Genomic DNA, 20127 nt, shown 5'->3' on the forward strand with positions numbered 1-20127 from the left:
TCCAAACCCATAGAATGTACACCACCAAGAGTGAACCCTAATGTAAGGTATAGACTTTGGGTGATAATGATGTGTCAATGTAGGTTTATCTGTTGTAATGTATGTACCACTCTCGTGGGGGATATTGTAATTGGGAGCCTGAACATGTATGAGGGCAGAGGCCATATGGGAAATCTCTGTACCTTCCTTTCAATTTGACTGTGAGCCTAACACTGCTCTAAAACAAACAGTCTTAAATATAATAAAATTGGCCCCGGTCTCACACCATAAAAAAGAAAGACATTAATTGAATTTGTTTGAAGATTAAGGTACAAGGATGTTCATTTTAGACCTTTACTGGAGCAAAAAATATTGTAAACAACTTAGATGTACCATAAGAGCAGACTGTTAAATTATGGAAGATTTGTACAATAGAATATTCCTTGCCTCCCACATCTAAGTCATCAGAGCAAGTTCTCCATTATCTCCGGAATAGATTCTGATTCTGTTCATTACTCTCCATCTCAATGGCCACCACTGGAGAACAATGCCTCACCCTCCTTCATCTGGATACTAAACATCTTCCTAACTGGTCATCCTGCTCCAGCTTCTACTCCTTTGATCCATTCTTCACATAGCAGTCAGAGCTGTCTACTTTGCTGCCTGGCTAGCTAGCTAACCATTTGTTTAAAGTATTAAAAGCACCCATAAACCTACCACATTTGGCCCCTACCCATGCCATGTCCTAACACCTCCCATGCCAGGCAGCCATCAACCTGAATCCTCACTCCCTTGCTTTCCTTTTTATATAGTGTTATTGCATCTATAAGAGTTCCTAAATACACATATTTTTAAAGTTTTTAATTTAATAAAAAATATCCCGTGGCACGCAATAATTTTTGCACTTAGTGGTATTTGTTAAGATTCACGCATGTTGTTGCATGTCACCACAGTTCATTCATTCAAACAGCTGTGTAATATTCCACTGTAGTTATGGATTTAGTTTATTCAGTCTCTTGTTGATGGGCATTGAAGATTTTTTGCTAGGTTTTTATTATTATTATTATTATTTATTTTATTTTATTTTTTTATTTTTTTTTGAGACAGAGTCTTGCCTTTTGCCCAGGCCGGACTGCAGTGGCGTGATCTCGGCTCACTGCAAGCTCCGCCTCCTGGGTTCATGCCATTCTCCTGCCTCAGCCTCCCGAGTAGCTGGGACTACAGGTGCCCACCACCACGCCCAGCTAATTTTTTGTATTTTTAGTAGAGACGGGGTTTCACCATGTTAGCCAGGATGGTCTTGATCTCCTGACCTTGTGATCCGCCCACCTCGGCCTCCCAAAGTGCTGGGATTACAGGCGTGAGCCACTGTGCCTGGCCTTATTATTATTATTTTATTATTATGAATGCTGTTATGAACATTGTGATCCATGTCTCTTATTGTGTATGTGCAAGAATTTCTGTTGGATATATATCTAGGCATGTAATTTCTGCATTTTGTGGTATGTAAATGTCAAACTTTAATTGTTTGCCAAACTGTTCACCAGTTTACATTCCCACTAGCAATATTTTATTTTATTTTATTTTATTTTATTTTATTTTATTTTATTTTGAGATGGAGTTTTGCTCTTATCATCCAGGCTGGAGGGCAGTGGCATGATCTTGGCTTACTACCACAACCTCCACCTCCTGGGCTCAGGTGATTCTCCCACCTCAGCCTCCCAAGTAGCTGGGACTATAGGTGCACACCACTACATCAAGCTAATTTTTGTATTTTTAGTAGAGATTGGGTTTCGCCATGTTGCCCAGGGTGGTCTCAAACTCCTGGGCTCAAGTGATCCACCTGACTTGGCCTCCCAAAGTGCTGGGATTACAGGCTTGAGCCATGGTGCCCAGCACCCACTAGCAATTTTGAAGAGATCCTATGATTCTAACTTCTTTTTCCAACACTGGCATTATCAAACTGTTAAAGTTTGCCAAGCAAATGGGTGCTAAAAGTTATTGAATTGTATTCTTAATTTGCATCTCCCTGATCACTAATGATGTTAAACATCTCTCCATGTTTTTATTGATCTTAAGTGTTTCCTATTCTATGAAATGCTTGTTATTTGCCCATTTTTTAAAAACTGGGTTGTTTGTGCTTTTCTTATTAATTTGTAAGAGTTGTTTTTTGCGTATCCTTAACACTAATCCTTTGCTGGTTTTGTGTGTTGCAAAGACCTTTTTCCAGTCTGTAAATTGTCTTTTCACTTTCTTTAAGCGGTCTTTTGGTATATAATAATTCTCAGCAGGGCGCGGTGGCTCATGCCTGTAATCCCAGCACTTTGAGAGGCCAAGGCAGGTGGATCACGAGGTCAGGAGTTCAAGACCAACCTGGCCAAGATGGTGAAACCCCATCTCTACTAGAAATACAAAAATTAACCTGGCATGGTGTGGGGGGGTGCCTGTAATCCCAGCTACTCAGGAGGCTGAGGCAGAGAATCGCTTGAATCCCGGAGGCAGAGGTTTCAGTGAGCCAAGATCGCACCACTGCACTCCAGCCTGGGCGACAGAACAAGACTCCATCTCAAAAAAAAACAAAATTCTCAATATTAATATGGTCAAATGTATCCGTTTTTCTTTTGCAGTCAATATTTTTGTGTCTTGTTTAAAAATATTTCCCTACTCAATTTATGAAAGACAATCACCTATATTTTCTACTAAGAATTTTTAAGTTATGGGGTGTTTTTTACATTTCATATTATTATTATTATTAATATAACTATTATCTGAGACAAAGTTTCACTCGGTCGCCCAGGCTGGAGTGCAGTGGCACCATCTCAGCTCACTGAGTGTGCACCACCCAGCCTGGCTGATTTTTGTATTTTTTAGTAGAGAAGAGGTTTCACCATTTTGGCCAGGCTAGTCTCAAACTCCTGACCTCTGGTGATCTGCCCACCTCAGCCTCCCAAAGTGCTGGGATTACAGGCGTGAGCCACTGGGCTGACCTACATTTCCATTCTTAAACCATCTGGAGTTGACTTTTTGTATAGGGTATGAGCAGGGTTCCAGTTTCGCTTTTTTGCATATGAATTTTTTTCCAGTTCCAAGTACTATATCATTCTTTATTTCCCTACTGATTTGACATTCTACTTCTATCATTTACAGAAGTTCCATATCTATGTGAGGCAGTTTCTGAGCTTTCTAATATATTTTATTGGTCAGTTTGTTTTTCCTTGTGCCAAAACCACATTGTCTCAATTACTATAAGTTCATAATAAGTCCTGATATTTGGTGAGGCAAATCTTCTCTCCCTACTTTTCTTTTTTCAGTATTTTAAATCCTTACCAGGTAACATAAAAAACGCTGTAGGTCAAATAGGGTAGAATTGGAGAATTGTCATCTTTATGATATTAAATTATCCTATCTATGAAAGTGTTATCTCCCTTAATTTATTAAGTACTCCCTTAATATCTCTTAATGAAATTGCACATTTTTAAAGTAGAAGGCATGTAACGTTTGTTAGATTTATTTTTAAGTATTTTATTTTCTCTGGTACTATTTTAAATGCGTCTGCTCTTTAATTATGTGTTTTAGTTTGCTGTTGGTATATAGAATGTAAATTACTTTTACATATTCATCTTATATCAAGCTAACTGACTAAATTCTCCTATTACTGCTAATAGTTTATCTATGTATTGTTTTGAGTTTTTTATGCAAATAATGACAAATAATGCCAAAATGACCATTTAATTTCCTCCCTTCTCATTCTTTTGTCTCTCATTTCTTTTTCTTGTCTTTTTGCACTGATGATAGGGGGACCTTTGTTTCATTCCTTGTTTTAAAGTGACTGCTTCTAACACTAACACGTCCTTATGTAGAAAGATGTTTGCTCTAGTGTTTTTATAGTTGGTTAGAAGTTCCCCTTCATTTCATTTATCATGAATAATTGTCGATTAGAAAAAACCTTTTTCATAGCTAAAATAACAAAAATAAAGAAAACAGCCTAAAAATAGAACTTAATTATTCTAAGCCAAACACCTTTGTACCACTACCCATGAAAGGAGACAAATCAACCATCCCAAAAGCCTCACGTGTGTCCCTTCCCAGCTATGAGCCCCTCCTTCCTTCTGCCCAAGAGTAACTGCTCTGTTGACTTTTTGGTAATCACCTCCTTACTGTTTTCTCATAGTTCGCTCACCCAGCCATGAATCTTAAACACCATGGTTTGGTTTTGCCTAATTTTTAGTATGTCTTTTGGGTCTCTTTCGATCTATATAGGTTGTTCCTCCATCTTTTTTTTTTTCTTCTTGCAATCCATTTGGTAAAGACACCAGATTATTTGTTGTGTGGTGTTTTCCTCTGTTGTGTGTTGATTTTTATCCAAGGTTTCTTTGAATATAATGTGATGATTGCATTTGTGTGTGGTGTGTGTGTGGTGGGGAGGGGGAGGTTCTCTCTTTTGTTAATAATGTAAATTACCTTTAGGGAGAACAGTCCTCCTCAAACAAATCAGATCATATCATTTCCCTCTAATGGCTTCTCATTGACATTAGGATAAAATCCAAAATTTTGACCATGGGCTATGAGGCCCACAAGAGCCCCACAAAAATTCTCATCTACATCTACCTCTCTGATTTAATACCCAATTTCCCTCTTCCTCACTGCGTTTTAGCCACAGTGGCTTTCTTATGATTTCTCAAACATGCCAAGTTCATTCTTAAGCTTTGGCCATTAGCTATTCTCTCTTCCTGGAATGCTTTTTCCTAATCTTTACATGGGAGCTCGCTAGTATCGTTAAAGCCTCAACTCAAAATTTCCTTCCTCAAAAGACCTTTATGGACCATCCAATCTAAAATAGTCTCACATCATTGTTTTAATAACCCTTATCAGTATCTGGAATTATCCTGTCCACTTATTTGTTTGATTTTCATCTTGCTCCAGCCCATAGTGTAAGCTTCATGCAAGTCTTGTTCATTGCTTTATTTGTAATCCCTAAATTAGTTCCTGGGACAGCATAGGTCCTCAATAAAGATTTGTTATATCAAAATTATATTACAGGAAATTATTTATGGACAGGCAAAGATATTCAAACTATGTTACGCTGATAAAGGAGTATGTATCAGTGATATGATTTTATTTTTGTTAAAAAATACACAAAATGTGTGTGTGTCTGAATCCATATAGTCAAATATATGAAAGGACGCAAGCCAAAGGTTCACAGCAGTCATCACTATTACTGGTATTTATGTTATTTTGCTTGTCTGTCTTTTCTGTCTTTTTACTTCTTTGACAGGCACATATTGTGTTTACTATATAAAAAAGTAATCTTATTATAATGAAAGAACAATTTCTTTCTTTTTTAAAAATGTATGATTTATTTGAGAGAACACAGACTCCCCAAATAGCCCAGGAACTCATTTACATTAGCATGTGTAATTATCAAACAACACATAGTAAGTATATGCCCATTTCTATCCTGGGTGTCATAAGAACGATACCTGCATTTATTTAGTCACTTTATTCTGCTTTGTTCCAAAAAAAAGAAATTGTTGTGGCTCATAAGAAGTTTGTTCTCATTTCATCTATTTAGGGACATGAGACACATGAATACAAGAGCAAACTCTTATTTGAGAACAATTGCAAACTCTTCACATTTGGTAGCTGTGTCTTATTCAGCTTTGTATTCCTCTAGAATCTACCAGTGGCTTACCTGGAACACTGGTGCTTAGTGAAGGCTAGTGGAATTAAACAGTTCAGCATATGTGATATCACAGCATGGTTCTGGATAAAATGCCAACTAAAGTGAAATAGGGAGTTGTTGTTTAACGGGTATAGAGTTTCAGTTTTACAAGATAAAAAAGTTCTGAAGATCTGTTACACAACAATATAAACACATAATACTACTGAATTGTATACTTAGAAATAGTTAAGATGGCAAATTTTGTGTTGTGTTCTTCACTATCACTTTTTTTAATGCCAAATGAAGTGGTATAGACTTGTATAGAAGATAGTGCTAAAAGAGTTGAGCTCAAGAGAAATCACTGTGCACTCAAGAGGTCTGGGTAGACTTCAAGAGGAAGGACTGAGCTGGCCTAGGAAAGAAGAGTAGAATTGGGTTCCACAAAAGGAAGGAGGGTGATTCAGAGAGGGGTATGCAGAAGCCAGCCTGTAAATGTATTTGGGGCCAATGAAAGGATGGATTGGCTCTGATGAACTACAAGGGTTTTAAGAAGATGAGGAGATGGAAGGAGGTTGTGAAGGGAGGTTGGGTCAAAATGTGAAAGGCCTTGGAGGCCAGGCTGAGGAGTCTGAACTTCAGCCTAGAGGCAATGAGGAGAGATAAAAGGTTTTAGATTTGGGAAATGTGTGATAAAAGGGGTACTTTTAAAACATACTAATTAGCATTCGAATTGTAATATAGTACTGCTGAAAGAGAAGGAAAAGGAAGCACCCAAACCTTCTAAAGTGACATTCAGATGACAGCTATTGCTGAGACAGACAGAGTCTAGACCAAATAGGTCATCTGAATAAGCTTTTCAGGGAACAGAGACCCTGCCCCCCATCACTAACGCAAGAAGATGAATTCTATCACTCTTGTCTCATAACCTTTTCCCAGAGAGGCTCAGAATGGCAAAAGCACCTTTTTCTTCCTGGCACTCTAATTAGATAGACAGTGGGCAGCAGTGATTTCCTGACTAAAATGCAAAGTATGAAGAAAGTGGATTTAAAAAAAAATAGAGCCGCCACAGACGCAGACGGGCAGTTCAGCCCCAGATGCTGCATGCCTGAGAAATATGCAGGTTCCCACAACTAGAAGGAAGAAGCACTTAGAGGCTTCCTCCCAGGCATTGCTCTTTAGACCAGGAGCGGGCAGGCTCCCCAGTACCTCCTGTCTCAAGCAAGCCAACTTGTCTTCAGAAACTGAGGACCAGAGTGAGCTGTGGGCAATATTCCCCACAAAATAAGGGACATGTGACTCCACTGGACCTGTCCACCTACAGGTATTATGGGGCATTCCAACTCTCTTATTGAAAAAAAGGAGGGCTGGGCATGGTGGCTTACACCTGTAAGCCCAGTGCTTCGGGAGGCTGAGGAGGGAGGATCTACAGAGGCCAAGAGTTCAAGACCAACCTGGGCAATAGAGCAAGACTCTATTTCTACAAAATAAAAATAAAAATTAGCCATGCATGGTGGCATGTGCTTGTAGTCCTAGGTACTCAGGAGGCTGAAATAGGAGAATGGCTTGAGCCGAGAAATTTGAGGCTACCATGAGCTATGATCACACAACTGCACTCCAGCCTGGGTGACAGAGAAAGACCCTGTCTCTAAAAAAAGAAAAAAGAAAGAAAAGAAGGGAAAACATCAGAAAGTTATTTATTTATTTCATCCTCAAATGAATAAGCACAGAAGGTTATTTTATTTACAAGTTAATGCACATGTAGCAAAAATCAGAAAATGAGTAAGCAAAAAGATTTTAAGAAGCCATGTTTTGTTTGTTACTGTTAACAAATATAAATGGACTCATACTGTACATAGTACTTTGGAACCTGATTTTTTTCAATGAACAACCTATTGTGAATATTCTTTGATGTCAATAAATAAACTTCTGCAAAAATGATGTATGATGGCTACAAAATATTCCACAACATGGGGAATACGGGAGACCACAGTCTAGTTAACCGATGCCTCATCACTGGATACTTAAGTTGTTTCCAATCTTTGGCTATTATGAACAATACTATAATGAACATCTAGGAACAAAATAACCTTGTCCCCAGGATCCTTAAATTGTTGTCATTGTTGAATGTGCAATAAAGTCTTACCACAAAGAGAGATACCCATAAACCTGTTGTAAAGAAAACACGTATCTTCAGGGACCTGACTGAAATCTCATTTCTTCCAAGAAGGCTTCTCTTAACCAGATCCATCCAAAGTGCTTTCTCTCTCTCTCCCAAGTACTCTGATGCCCTGCTTAGCAGGCCTGCCCTTCACACCTGTCTAGTGTGGTCTTTGCCACATATGCCGCTTGTCTCTCCAAGTATACCGTAAGACCCTTGAAGGCAGAGATCCCATCAATTACCTCTTTTAGTCCCAAAATGATGGCACATGTAATTAGCTCTCAAATATTTGTTAAATTATTTCATTTAAAAGATTGAGGGGGTGGCCAGACGTGGTGGCTCACGCCTATAATCCCAGCACTCTGGGAAGCCGATGGGGGTGGGGGGCAGATTGCTTGAGTCCAGGAGTTCAAGACCAGCCTGGGCAACACAGTGAAACCCTGTCTCTACTAAAAATACAAAAAATTAGCAGGGCATGGTGGCACATGCCTGTAGTCCCAGCTACTCAGGAGGCTGAGGTGGGGGGATCACCTGAGCTTGGGAGGTCGAGGCCGTGGTGAGCCAAGATCGCACCACTGCACACCAGCCTGGGCAACCAGAATGAGATCCTGTGTCACCACAAAATAAATAAATAAAAAATGGAAATAAAAATAAAAGAAAAGCTTGAGGGGAACATGGAGGAGAACTCCTCCAATTTTAATTAAGATTTATGGGTAGTCACTGGGAATGAGGAACTAGAAAAAAACCCACCCTTCCTTTACCCACCCAGAGGCACTACTAAAGCTCAGCACTCTGCCTTTGACCCAGACTCATCTCTTTGGCCCTAAACAATCAAAATTCTGACTATAACTCAAAGAGCAGCAGAAATAACTGGAATAATCTTACGAAGACCATTTGATACATGGACTGCCAGTGCTGGCTCTAAGGGGTTAACTAGTAAGCTGCCTTTATCTTCAAACAGTACTTTACATGCTCTTTAGTGAAAGAGGGAAGAGCAAAGGTCAACAATACAGGTCTGCCCCCAAAGGTTAAGGGAAGACACCACTGTCTAATCCTAGACTGAGGACAGACATGGCAGAGCTGACTCTGCTGTATGGGGCATCATCTGGCAAATAGCAGAAATAGATAGAAACCAGCCCCCAGGGCCAAGGGCTCAGGAGTCAGTGAGGACACCCTCACTCAGCCCTCAATGGGCCCTAGAATGAAGCAAATTCCTGAGAACAGCCAGCATGTGAATCCTGCTTATCAAGAAGGTAGAACTTCCAAGCCTGCTGCCTACAAGCTGAGGTCTATCACAGATGGACATGGTTCCCCTCTCCATGGAGCCTGGAACTAAGAGAGGGCCATGGGCCGGGTTTCCCGCTGGGGAGGAGCCAGCTGCCCTGAGGATTGCCCCTCTAGGTAAATTAGGAAGCTTTTGTTAAACACTTGCTCTGGCTAGACCTGGGCTCAGAGGAGTGGGGTACGTGGGGCCTGGGTCCTCCCTTCACAGAGTTATAATCTGGCTAGGAGTCCAAAGTGAGAGATAGAACAAGGAACAAAAATACCCTGTTTCTACATTGGTGGCAAGGGGTGGGAGTGGAGGTGTGGAGTCAAAAGTCAAAGACTCTAGATTGGAAGTCAGGAGGCCTTGGTTCTAGCTCTCTCTGTTACCAGTGAAAAATGACACCACCTTGGGTAAACCACTTAACTTCTTTGGGCCTCTAGTTTCTACTCTGGAAAGATGAAAGACCAATGCCAATACTCCCCACAGAAGAGCAGGTCAGAATATTGTTCTGAACAAAACCCCAGAGGGCTGGAAAAGTGCTTCTATTATGTTCAACATTTGTATATCCAGACCAACCCAAGGCCAAGAAAGTCCTGGAGGGCCGGCCACGTGACCATCTCAGGTATACTCAGGAAGCCTGTGTTCCCATCTACTGGCAATCAACCCCAGACCAAAGCCACACAAGATCTGCTCCAGTTCCAAACTGGGACCCAATCTAGCCATGGGACTGCAGGTGAAGATAGCCTGCCTCACGCCTTCTACTGTTCTCATTCCCTCAAATTCTCCAAGTTTGGTCTCTACTAGTGATGTGGAAAGAAGTACAGAACTCTAGTCACCAAAAGTAGAGAATCTCAATGCTCAAGAGGCCCAATGCTTGCTCCTGACGAGTCTGAAAAAATTATGAGCTTAGAATTATGAGTCAGAATGTTGTAATTGGCTAAAAACAAACAAACAAACACTATCTACCATCCAAGGGCAAAGAACCATACTGTTACTTGAAATATGGGTAAGACTAGAGAATTATAGGAATAGGGGAAGATAGGAAGAGGAGTTAAGACAAGAGAAAAAACTTGCTCAAATCAGTGAAACCAAGAAGCCTTCTAAATTTCCTAGATTATAGCAGAAGACTCTGAATCCTACATCACAAGCCCCTTGCCCCACCACCTCTTTCAGCACAGCTGTCCTATGCGAGTTCAGATCCACTTCCTGCTTGAAAGTCACACCTCAAACACACAACCCTCTAGGGACTTCACTGTCCTAAGGACGAGGCTCAGCCAGTGGGGGACAGAAGCTAGCTGGAGTTCCTCATCCTTCAAGCAGACAACTCCATGAGGCATTCTGTGTCGTTCTCCTGAAGTTCTGGTGGAATTAAGTCCCCACTGCACACAGTAGGAACCTTAATAATACACCCTAATAACAGTTTATCCTCTATTCCTGCCTCATTCCCCTTATGCCGTTTCCTCATTCCTGCTTCTTGCAATTACCTCTCAAACTATCTGCACCCAATTCTTGTATTAGATTCTGCTTTCTGGTGAATCTGACCCAAAATATCAGTAGAGAATCTGGTGTTTACAAACTGGTTGGAGGTTCTATGGTGACTTAGCATATTTTTTCAAGGGATGCCAAGTTGCTCTGAAAAGTTTTCTCTGTAATGCACCAGGCTCCTCAATAATCCACCAGGTCCAGTTATTCAACTCAGTGGCAAACCTGGCCTGCATTGCCCTATCCAGCAAGCCTCATGGAATGAGAGAAGGGACCAGACGTTCTCTGTTCGTACCTGGTAGCACTTTGGAATCATTGTTCAAGAAGAATGATTATAGTACAGCTTCAGTCTCATTTTCCCCACTGTGCAGTGTCCCATGCTGAGCTCCTCCAAACATCGGTCCCTCCTGGAAGAACAGTCTTTACAAGGAGCATCCTTTCACTTTTGAAAGAGGAGAATCACAGGAGAGAAATCCAAGGAGAATGACAGGAGGGAAATTATCCAGACTACATGGGAAATATACTCTGGGTGAGAACATTTCAGTGCTGAGGGTGGGTGCCCCAATCTATACCCACCCAGAGGGAACCTGGGGATATCTGACATGCATATGTGCCACACACAAACAGACACATGCCCAGGGGAAAACAAGCAGGAAGAAACATCAAACTATTAGCCAGAGCTCTCGCTAAGTGATGGGATGATGGGTTATTTTTATTCTTTTCTTTATACGCTCATGCATTTTCTACAATGAATGTGTAATACTCTTAGGTTTTTAATTATAAAAAAACAACATTTGTCTCTTCTACACTATGATATCCACAGAGCCCTAAAAATGACCTATAAACGCCCACAGATTCAGTTAATGAGGTAATCTGGGACAACAGCAGAATCTAGATCTTGAGTCTGGAGGTTCTCAGACAAGATATGTGGAAACACAAAATATTATTATCAGGCATTCTCTCCCTTATAATTTGGTCTTTCAGAGGAAGTGAAGCACAGAACTGCGAGTCAATTGCCTACACACCTCTGTGCTTGAACTCTGGCATTTAGCAGTACCACCCCTCCCTTCCTCGAGCTTTTGCACTACCCTTCCAGCTTCCCCTGCCGCAGAGGCATGGAGGACCAGGCTTAGCACTCTAGCCACTCCAAGGACTTAGGCATCCTGCCAAAGAGGGAGAGGACTGAAGGGCAGCAGTCGGTGAGCCAGGGAGCCCCTGAACCAAGCCAGTTGTTAAGTAGGCGTGAGAACCCATCAGCTGGAAACACCGAAGGCGGGCAGGCAGGCGGAATGATTCTGGGTGAAGGAACATTGTAAATGTTGTCACCCAAAATAGAGCTGAGCTGAACTTGGCTCTCAGGCATTGCATGCCTCCTTCCTGCACTCTGTCGGCTCTCTTCGGAGCTCTCGAAAATGTTCCCCAGGCACCACACCTCCTCCTGCTGCAGCCAGGATTGGCTTGGTCTGCACTATTGCTCTGGAAGCTGAAGGCAGTGGGCAGAGGAGCGGCCATAGATTCCTATAGGAACTTCCTAACTGCTCTCCCTAGCTTCAATCCATTCTAATCCATCTCTGTCAACGTCAGATGTGATGGTTTCAATCCCCTCTTCAAAAACGTCAGTGGCTTCTTACCACCTACAGAATGACATCAAACTGTAACATAGGACTCAACGTCCTTCTCGATCTCTCTGTGACCTACTTTGATAGCCTCGTCTTCTGCCTTTTCTCCACCCTCACGCCCCATGTTCTAGCTACATCAGACCTCTCAGAGTTCCCTGGATTTTCCAGACCCAGTTCAGAAGAGACCTGTGACACGAAGCCTGCTGCTGCAGGCCCTGCTACTGGACTCCTCTCCCTCTGATCTCCCATCGGTATCCATACCATTTATTAGCACTTGGCTCATCCAGTCGGGTAGAGCTTGTTTTCCTTTGTGTCCTCATAACTAGCCTAAAAAAGCTTGAAAGAAGAAATCGTGTATGGCATATTTGTTTGTCCCTAGTACCTACCACGGTGCCCCATACTTAAGCGTATTTAATACATACCTACAGCTTATGGTAGTGATACCATTAGTTTTTTCACACATGGTTATCTCATTACCCTAACCAAATTATAAGCAATTTGAAAATACAGATCATGTCTTAATTTATTTTTTATCCTCCAAAACATATAGCATTGTACCTTATATGCCTCAGGAAGCAATTGATAAATATATAGCCCAATTATAAAAGCAGATATAATTCATTCTACAAATAATTATTGAGTACCTGCTATTTGCCAAGCACTATTCTAAATACTAGAGATGTGAGCTGGGCTTGGTGGCTCATGTGTGTAATCCTAACACTTTGGCAGGGCAAGGTGGGAGGATCGCTTGAGGCCAGGAGTTCAAGACCAGCCTGGGAAAAATAGCAAGACCCTATCTCCACCAAAAAAAAAAAAAAATGGCCAGACATAGTGCCATGTACCTGCAGTCCTAGCTACTTGGGAGGCTGAGGCTGTAGGATCGTGTAAGCCCAAGAGTTTGAGGCTGCAATGAGCTATGATCCCACCACTGCACTCCAACCTTGGTGACAGAGTAAGACCCTGTCTCTAAAATAAGTAAATTTTAAAAATTAAAATAATTAAGGAGGCCAGGCATAGTGGCTCATGCCTGTAATCCCAGCACTTTGGAAGGCTAAGGTGGGAGGGTTCCTTGAGCCCACGAGTTTGAGACCAGCCTGGGCAACATAGGGAGACCCCTGTCTCTACAAAAAATAAAAATATTCGCCGGGCATGGTGGCATGAGCCTGTGGTCCCAGCTACTCAGGAGGCTGAGGCAGGAGGGTCACTTGAGCCTGGGAGGTCAAGGCTACAGTGAGCCATGATCATGCCACTGTACTCCAGCCTGGGTGGCAGAGAAAGAACCTGTCTCAAAAAATAATAAAGTAAATAAATAAATATTAGAGCTGTGACAGGGGAAAAAAAGACAAAATTTTTTGTCCTCTTGAAGTCTCCAATTCTAGTGGAAAGAGGTAAACATCATTTATAAGAAAAGTTGGTAAAATATGATGTCAGATAATGATAAGAGCTGAGGTGAAAAATAAAACAGAGTAGGGTTGGGAGGGTTATGGGGTTGCAATTTTAGATAGGATAGCTGGGAAATCCTCCTTGAAAAGGCAGAATTTGAAGGGGTGAAAGAAGTAAGGAAATGAGCCACACGGATTTTTAGGTTAAGCATATTCCAAGTAGAGTGAACAATAAATACCAAAAGCTGGAGACAGGAACATGTCTGACAGGTTCAGAAAATAACAGTAAGGGCCAAGTCGGAGAAAGCAGGAGAACTGAAGGGAGAACGTAGGAGCCGGAGTCAGAGAGGTCACAGACCAAAACATGCAAGTGAGCCTTCAGTCATCAACTCTGGGTGAGAAAGAAAGCTCTCTGAGGTTTACAGCAGGAGAATCACACGAGTTTTTTTTATTTGTCAGTCAGACTGCTGTGTTCAGAATAGACCGAAGAGGGGCAAGGGTGGAAGCAGAGAGACCAATTTGAAGGCTATTAAAACAACTAGGCAAGAGATAATGGTGTCTTGGACCAAGTGGATAATTGGGGAGGTGATGAGAACTAGTTGGATTCTGGATGTATTCTGAAGGTAGAATGTACAGGATTTGTAAAAGGATTAGATGTGGAGTGAAAGAAGAGGAGAATCCCAGATGGCTCCAAGATTTTTGACCTGAATAACTGGTCTTAACATTTTTTGAACTGGGGAAGATTACAAGAGACATCCAGGCAACTTTTTTTCCCATCAACTGACAAATTCTCCTTTTCAGCTACAGTGCCTGGCAACACAAGAGGTACTAAATGTGCTTCTTCATAAATTGACCAATATAGATCACTGATCAGAAAAACCATGCTCAAGACAAGCTGCTACTTCATCAGTGGGAGTCCTGACTAAAGAAATGCAAATAAAACAAGATGTAATTATACAGAGATAGAAAGAGATGAAGAGTGTGGTAGTCAGAACAGTGCCCCCCTCCCCCAATATGTTCATATCCTAATTTCTGGAACCTGTAAGTATTTTACCTAACAGGGCAAAAAGGAAATTGCAGATGTGATTAAATTAAGGATACTGGATTATGTGAGTGGCCCACTGTAATCACAAGTTTCCTTGTAAGAGGGAGGTAGGAGGATTAGAGTCAGAGAGACAGGGGTTGGAAGACACTACACTGCTGGTTTTGAAGGTGGAAAATGGAGCCAAGGAATGCAGGTGACCTCTAAGAGTTGGAAAAGGCAAGAAAACAAATTCTCCCATAGAGCCTCCAGAAGGAACACGGTCTTGCCAGCACCTTGATTTGAGCCCACTAAGACTGATTTTGGATTTCTGACCTCCAGAATTGTAAGATAATGAATCTGGGTTGCTTTAAGCCACTAAATTGTAGCCATTTGTTGTGGTAATTTTTTCAGCACTGTGGTTAAAAAGGGGAGTTTGTCACTAGAGTAAAAAATTCCCTGGATGCCATCTGTAGTCTTCTCCTAATTCAAAAAACAGCAAGACCAGTTGTTCAAGTCAAAAATCTTGAAACCATCCTGGATTCCTCCTTTCTTCTCTTACTCCACATCCAATTCTTTCACAAATCCTGTAAGTCCTACCTTCAACATACATCCAGAATCAACTTCACATCACCTCCCCAATTAGCTACTTGCCCAAGCCACCATTATCTCTTGCCTAGTTGTTTTAATGGCCTTTAAATAAACTAAGTAATTTTCTATGTTTGATAATTATACTGTGGTTCTGTAACATGTTAATATTAGGGAAAGTTGGGTGAGGAGTGTACAGGAACCTTCTGTATCATTTTTGCAAATTTTCTGTGAGTGCCAGTAGGAAACTAATACACACAAGTATGAAATAAACAGATCATATTTTAGAAAGAGCTATTGCTCTTGAGTAAAGACTTCATCAAGGAATGATATGTCTTATTAAGATTATTCTCTACTCTACCAATACAGTATTCTACAATTAATCAATGTAGAAGGTACTTGGGCAGAGGAAAACCACCGTCAGGCAAACACCACAAACAACTTTTGCAGATAAGACTTACCAATGGGTGCTAAAATTAGTGGCCAAAGTTGGAAGAGAAAAAGGATCTGCACAGTCTCAAAGTATGTCCTCCAAGATATTTTTTAAACTATAAAGGGTAAGATAGTAACTTTACAGTGGAGAAATTCAGCAGATCAACAAGGTTATTGTCACCAGTAAGATGCCCTCGGAAAGACACAGCATCATTTCTGAATTAATCTCACCAAAAAGGCATAAGTTCACTTCAATAATGAGAAAATATTAGACAAACTCAAGCTGAGGTACAGTACATTCTCCAAAATAACTAATCAACACTCTTCAAAAGTGTCAAGATCATGGAAGGCAGGGAAAGACTGAAAAATTATTACAAATTAGAAGAGACAAAGGAGGAATAATGACTATATGCAACGTGGGATCCTAGGTAGGCTCATGGAACAGAAAGGACACAAATAGAAAACTTGTGAAATTCAAATAAGGCTTATAGTTTAGTTAATAGTATTGTACCAGTGTTAATTCCTAGCTTTGATCATTGTACTATGGTTATGTAAGGTGATAATATTAGGGAAATTGGGTGAGGTTTGTACAGAAACTCTCTGTACTATTTTTTGCAACTTTTCTGTGAATCTAAAATTAATTCCAAAAAATGTTTAAAAAGAAAGATTAAGTCTTTAAATCTACCATTGATTAAACACCATTCTGTAACTTAACATCTTTCCCTTGGTTTTACCTGTAAAACAAAATGAACCTGACATCTTCTCAGGGGATGTAGAATTGGGTGGATTCCCCCACCTCCCCTAAAAAATGTCTATTAGGTCTTGAACTCCCTGGGGCCAAAAGCGAGGATTTGAAAGGGAAAGCCCCAAAGCTTGAAGTATCTGTCTTCCCATATATAAGAACTCCTCCTGTGAACATCAAAGGACCTGATAATAGGTCTGACATTGCCATTAATGACACCTATCAGTTCACCAGAGACCTCTACTCTCAGTTCCACTGCCAGAGAAAGGTGGTCACGGACTAGAAGCTGGTGCTTCCCCATACTCTCACGCCTCAGCAGCGTGGCAAAACCAACACTGATCCTCCTCCCCAGCACTATGAACATAGACTGGTCATGCTTCTACTCACAGCACTATGCTTCTGTCTGACAGTGTCTGCCTCCACAAGAAGGAAGCAAGCTTTTGGTCTCACAACCTGTCTCTCTAGCTGCATCACTGCCAGCCTCTGTATACTTTCCAATCCCCACAGTGAATATATTCTTGGACAGAGACAGCCATGGCAAGAGTGCTCGTGGTCGTCAAATTTTCTGCAGGGCCGTCAAAATCATGTCCAGAACTGCATGGAGCCAATACCTCAGCTACCACATGTCCACTTTGTTGCCCAGTCTAGCCCCAGCTCCTCAGGCATCTCAAGCTCATGTCTAAGCTCATGTCAAGATGAGAGATTACACTTTCAGCATGGCTCTTTTGCCAAGAGTGCCTAGAATGCATCCTGGAGCTTGGGGAAATGCATAGGAGGGGGTAGGGTTCAGGGGAGGGTGCAGGGAGGGATGCACTGGCACTAGCAATAGCTCCTTCTAGCTAACTCCACCTCACGTGTGATCCTCTAAGCCTTCTACAAAGGCCACTGGATTCCTACTCTAGAAAACTAGATACCAAAGACGTCTAGGTCAAAGGCTCTGAAAATCAGTGCTTCTGTCAGAAGACCAGTTAGAAAGGGGCCATTAGCACATGTTGCCCCATTCCTGGGGCAAAAGAAAGCATTAACTCATGGCTTGACCTGCTGAGGGTCTTCCAGTCTTGGGTCTCATTTCTGTCAATAATACTAAAATGTGCTGTCTGTCACTCACTGTGATCAGTACATGTTCTGCCCAGCTGTAACATGAAAGCAGACCACCACTGTGCTTTGTAGGGCTCTTGTGCAGTATTATAAACAAAATGGAGATTGTTCAGCTTCGGTAGAAGCCTGAGCTATCAAAGAAAGCTTTTAAGTACAGATTGCCCCAATTTGGCTCTCTCCTACACTGCTGATGTCAAATGGCGTAACCATTCTGGAGGGCAACTTGATAACATGTATCAAAAGCCTTAAAAATGTTCTTATCCTTTCACCCCAAAATTCCACTTCGAGGAATTAACCTAAGGATATCAGAGATGCACACAAAGATTAATGTACAAAGTTGTCATTCAGTATTATCTCTAGTAGTCTGAAAATTGGTTATAATAATGTTCTACAACTGGAAGTTATTAAATAAATATGGAGCATTCATAAGATTGTCTAATATGCATCCATTAAAAATCATATTTTCTAAGAACGGTTTGCCGTGTATTAAGATATGATCCTGATTTGGTGTGTGAGTATGGTGGAAGAGAAGAGAGACATGCCAGGAAAAGATGCAAGAAGAAAATACACCTTAAAACTTATTATCTCTAGGTGGTTGAGATGCCAACAGATCCTTTAAATTTTTCTTCTTTTATACTTCTCTGTTTCTTCTATATTTTCTCCAACAAACATGTTACTTTTCAAACAAGGAAAATTCATAGTCCCCATTATAGAGAGGCTCATTAACCTGCCCTAGGGTCTTCCGTGAGTCAGAAGTGAAATCAAAAATAAAGACCATGGTTCTCAAAAGCCTAGTTCATCACACAAGCTGCCTACATGTGTGCTGTGGTAACTCTAGAATAGTGGTCCTTAACTGGGGTGATTTTGCCCCACAGGGACGATTTCCATGTTTAGAGACATTTTTGTTTGTGGTAACGGGGGAAGGTGGATGCTACTGGCATCTAGTGGAGGGGCCAAGGATGCTACTAAATATCCTACAATGCCCAAGATAGTACCCCATAACAAAGAATCATTTGGCTCAAAATGCTAATAGTGCCATTGTTGAGTAACTCTGCTCTAGGAGAAGGAAACTGGACTTTGAAAAAGCTCAGGTGGCTCAAAGATACAGGAACCTCCAATCTGCTTCACATCCTGTGCGAGCTGTAGTGCCTTCTGCTTCAAACAGGCAGTTAACAGACCCCAGGGGATAAAGCATTGAGGACTTTATTACTTATATTAAGCAGCCTTCAGCTTCCAATTGGAGAAAAAGAAATTGCTCATTTCACTCCAGAGCCATAACAGACACAAGCAGAACACAGCTTAGGATCAAGAGCTCAGAAAGAGGAGATCAGCCAGGAGCTGGAGGTGGCAGGTGGGGAGTGTGTACCGACAGGCAACACCAGCTGGACTCAGGAGCCGGAGGCCTGTCTGTACATTCTCCTTCTGCATCTTCACCTCCAGCACCCTACTAGTCCTGGGTGACAATTTTAGACTTCACTTCCAAGTATCTTTAGGGTAGGAGAAAAAGGAAGAGCTCCACCCAACCCCTGAGAAAGATTCTTTCTGCTTTTGGAAACTCTCTTCCATCAAAGAGGGTCACTTGCTTGGACTTATCCAGGGGTTTCAAGGGAAGACAGATATTATGCCAGCATTTCATTTTCCCTGTGACCTTGGGCCCAATTTAGCAACTCATAGGACTCAAGTGCTGGAAAGAACCTTGGCCCAAACCTTGTCCCTTAACAGATCAGGAAACCAAGTCCCAGGGAAGCCAAGGATCAGGCCCAACTCACACAGCTATGGCGAAGCCGATACCTGAACCCGGATCTTCCATTCTCTCTATTCCTTACAGCATCTCAGTCACCAGGAAGTCTGATACTGTGAGACCCACAGCCGCCAGTCCTATAGTAGGAAGCTGTCACTCTCTAGTGTCATTTCACATGAGAACAGATGTGGGGAGCACCACACAGGAATGTGTTCCCATGGGCAGCCTGACATCTACATGTCCCATTTTGCTGCAGCCACTGAGGGTAAGTGCAGAGTCTATGCAGAAGATGCATGGGGAAATCAAAGATCTATTCCACAGCAGATGTGAAGCTCTAGTGTTGCTACTACCACATCCTTCGAGTAGCCTAGTAAACCTTATTTCAGCCAAACAAAAGGGCTCTTGTTCCACTAGGGCTATCGCTGGCCCCTTTTACTGGATAGCTGACCACACAACTGTTTGCTGCATTTATTCAACAAATATTTATTGAGCACCTATTATGTGCCAGAAACTGAACTAGGTAATGGTCATTTGGGTCTGACCTACTCTCTCTAAGGTCTAGTCCTATTATAGGCCCACTTCTGGGATTGCTTAGAGATCCCTTACTCCTTACTAAACCAAGTTTCCCTACAGTGAGCTCATCTTTACCTGAGCTAGCTTGGGAGATTCTAACTTTGGCTTGTGACCAAAAGAGAAAAACTAAAACCAAATGAAATGTATATACACTACAGTGAATTCCAGACGGGTCAGCATTAAATGCCAACTTAAAACCTAGAATATAAGAGAATGCTTATTTATCCCTCTCAGTCGGGGAGAAATAACTGACAAATGATATGACCAGAGACTCAACTGGTGAGTTCAAAAAAATAAATGCATGAAACAAGGAGGTATAGTACTATGGTTAGGATATAGGCTCAGAAATCAGACAGGCATGTCTCTGCTACTTACTGTGTGGT

The 20127-nt window shown here is 41.6% G+C and overlaps 1 protein-coding gene across 7 annotated transcripts in view, besides 1 other annotated feature; it reads right to left on the bottom strand.

The window, feature by feature from the left end:
• Positions 1–20127, bottom strand: part of NRG2 (neuregulin 2) — a 196519-nt gene that overhangs the window by 141948 nt on the left and 34444 nt on the right. The window lies entirely within an intron of this gene.
• Positions 16861–16930: an enhancer, noted in NCBI's record as "active region_23256". NCBI's record gives its function as "activates an Ori minimal core promoter by ATAC-STARR-seq in GM12878 lymphoblastoid cells {active_cell/tissue: GM12878}" and the evidence as "EXISTENCE:reporter gene assay evidence [ECO:0000049][PMID:35858748]".

The sequence above is a fragment of the Homo sapiens genome, chromosome 5 (assembly GCF_000001405.40).
Source record: "Homo sapiens chromosome 5, GRCh38.p14 Primary Assembly".
In the NCBI taxonomy this organism is placed as follows: Eukaryota; Metazoa; Chordata; class Mammalia; order Primates; family Hominidae; genus Homo; species Homo sapiens.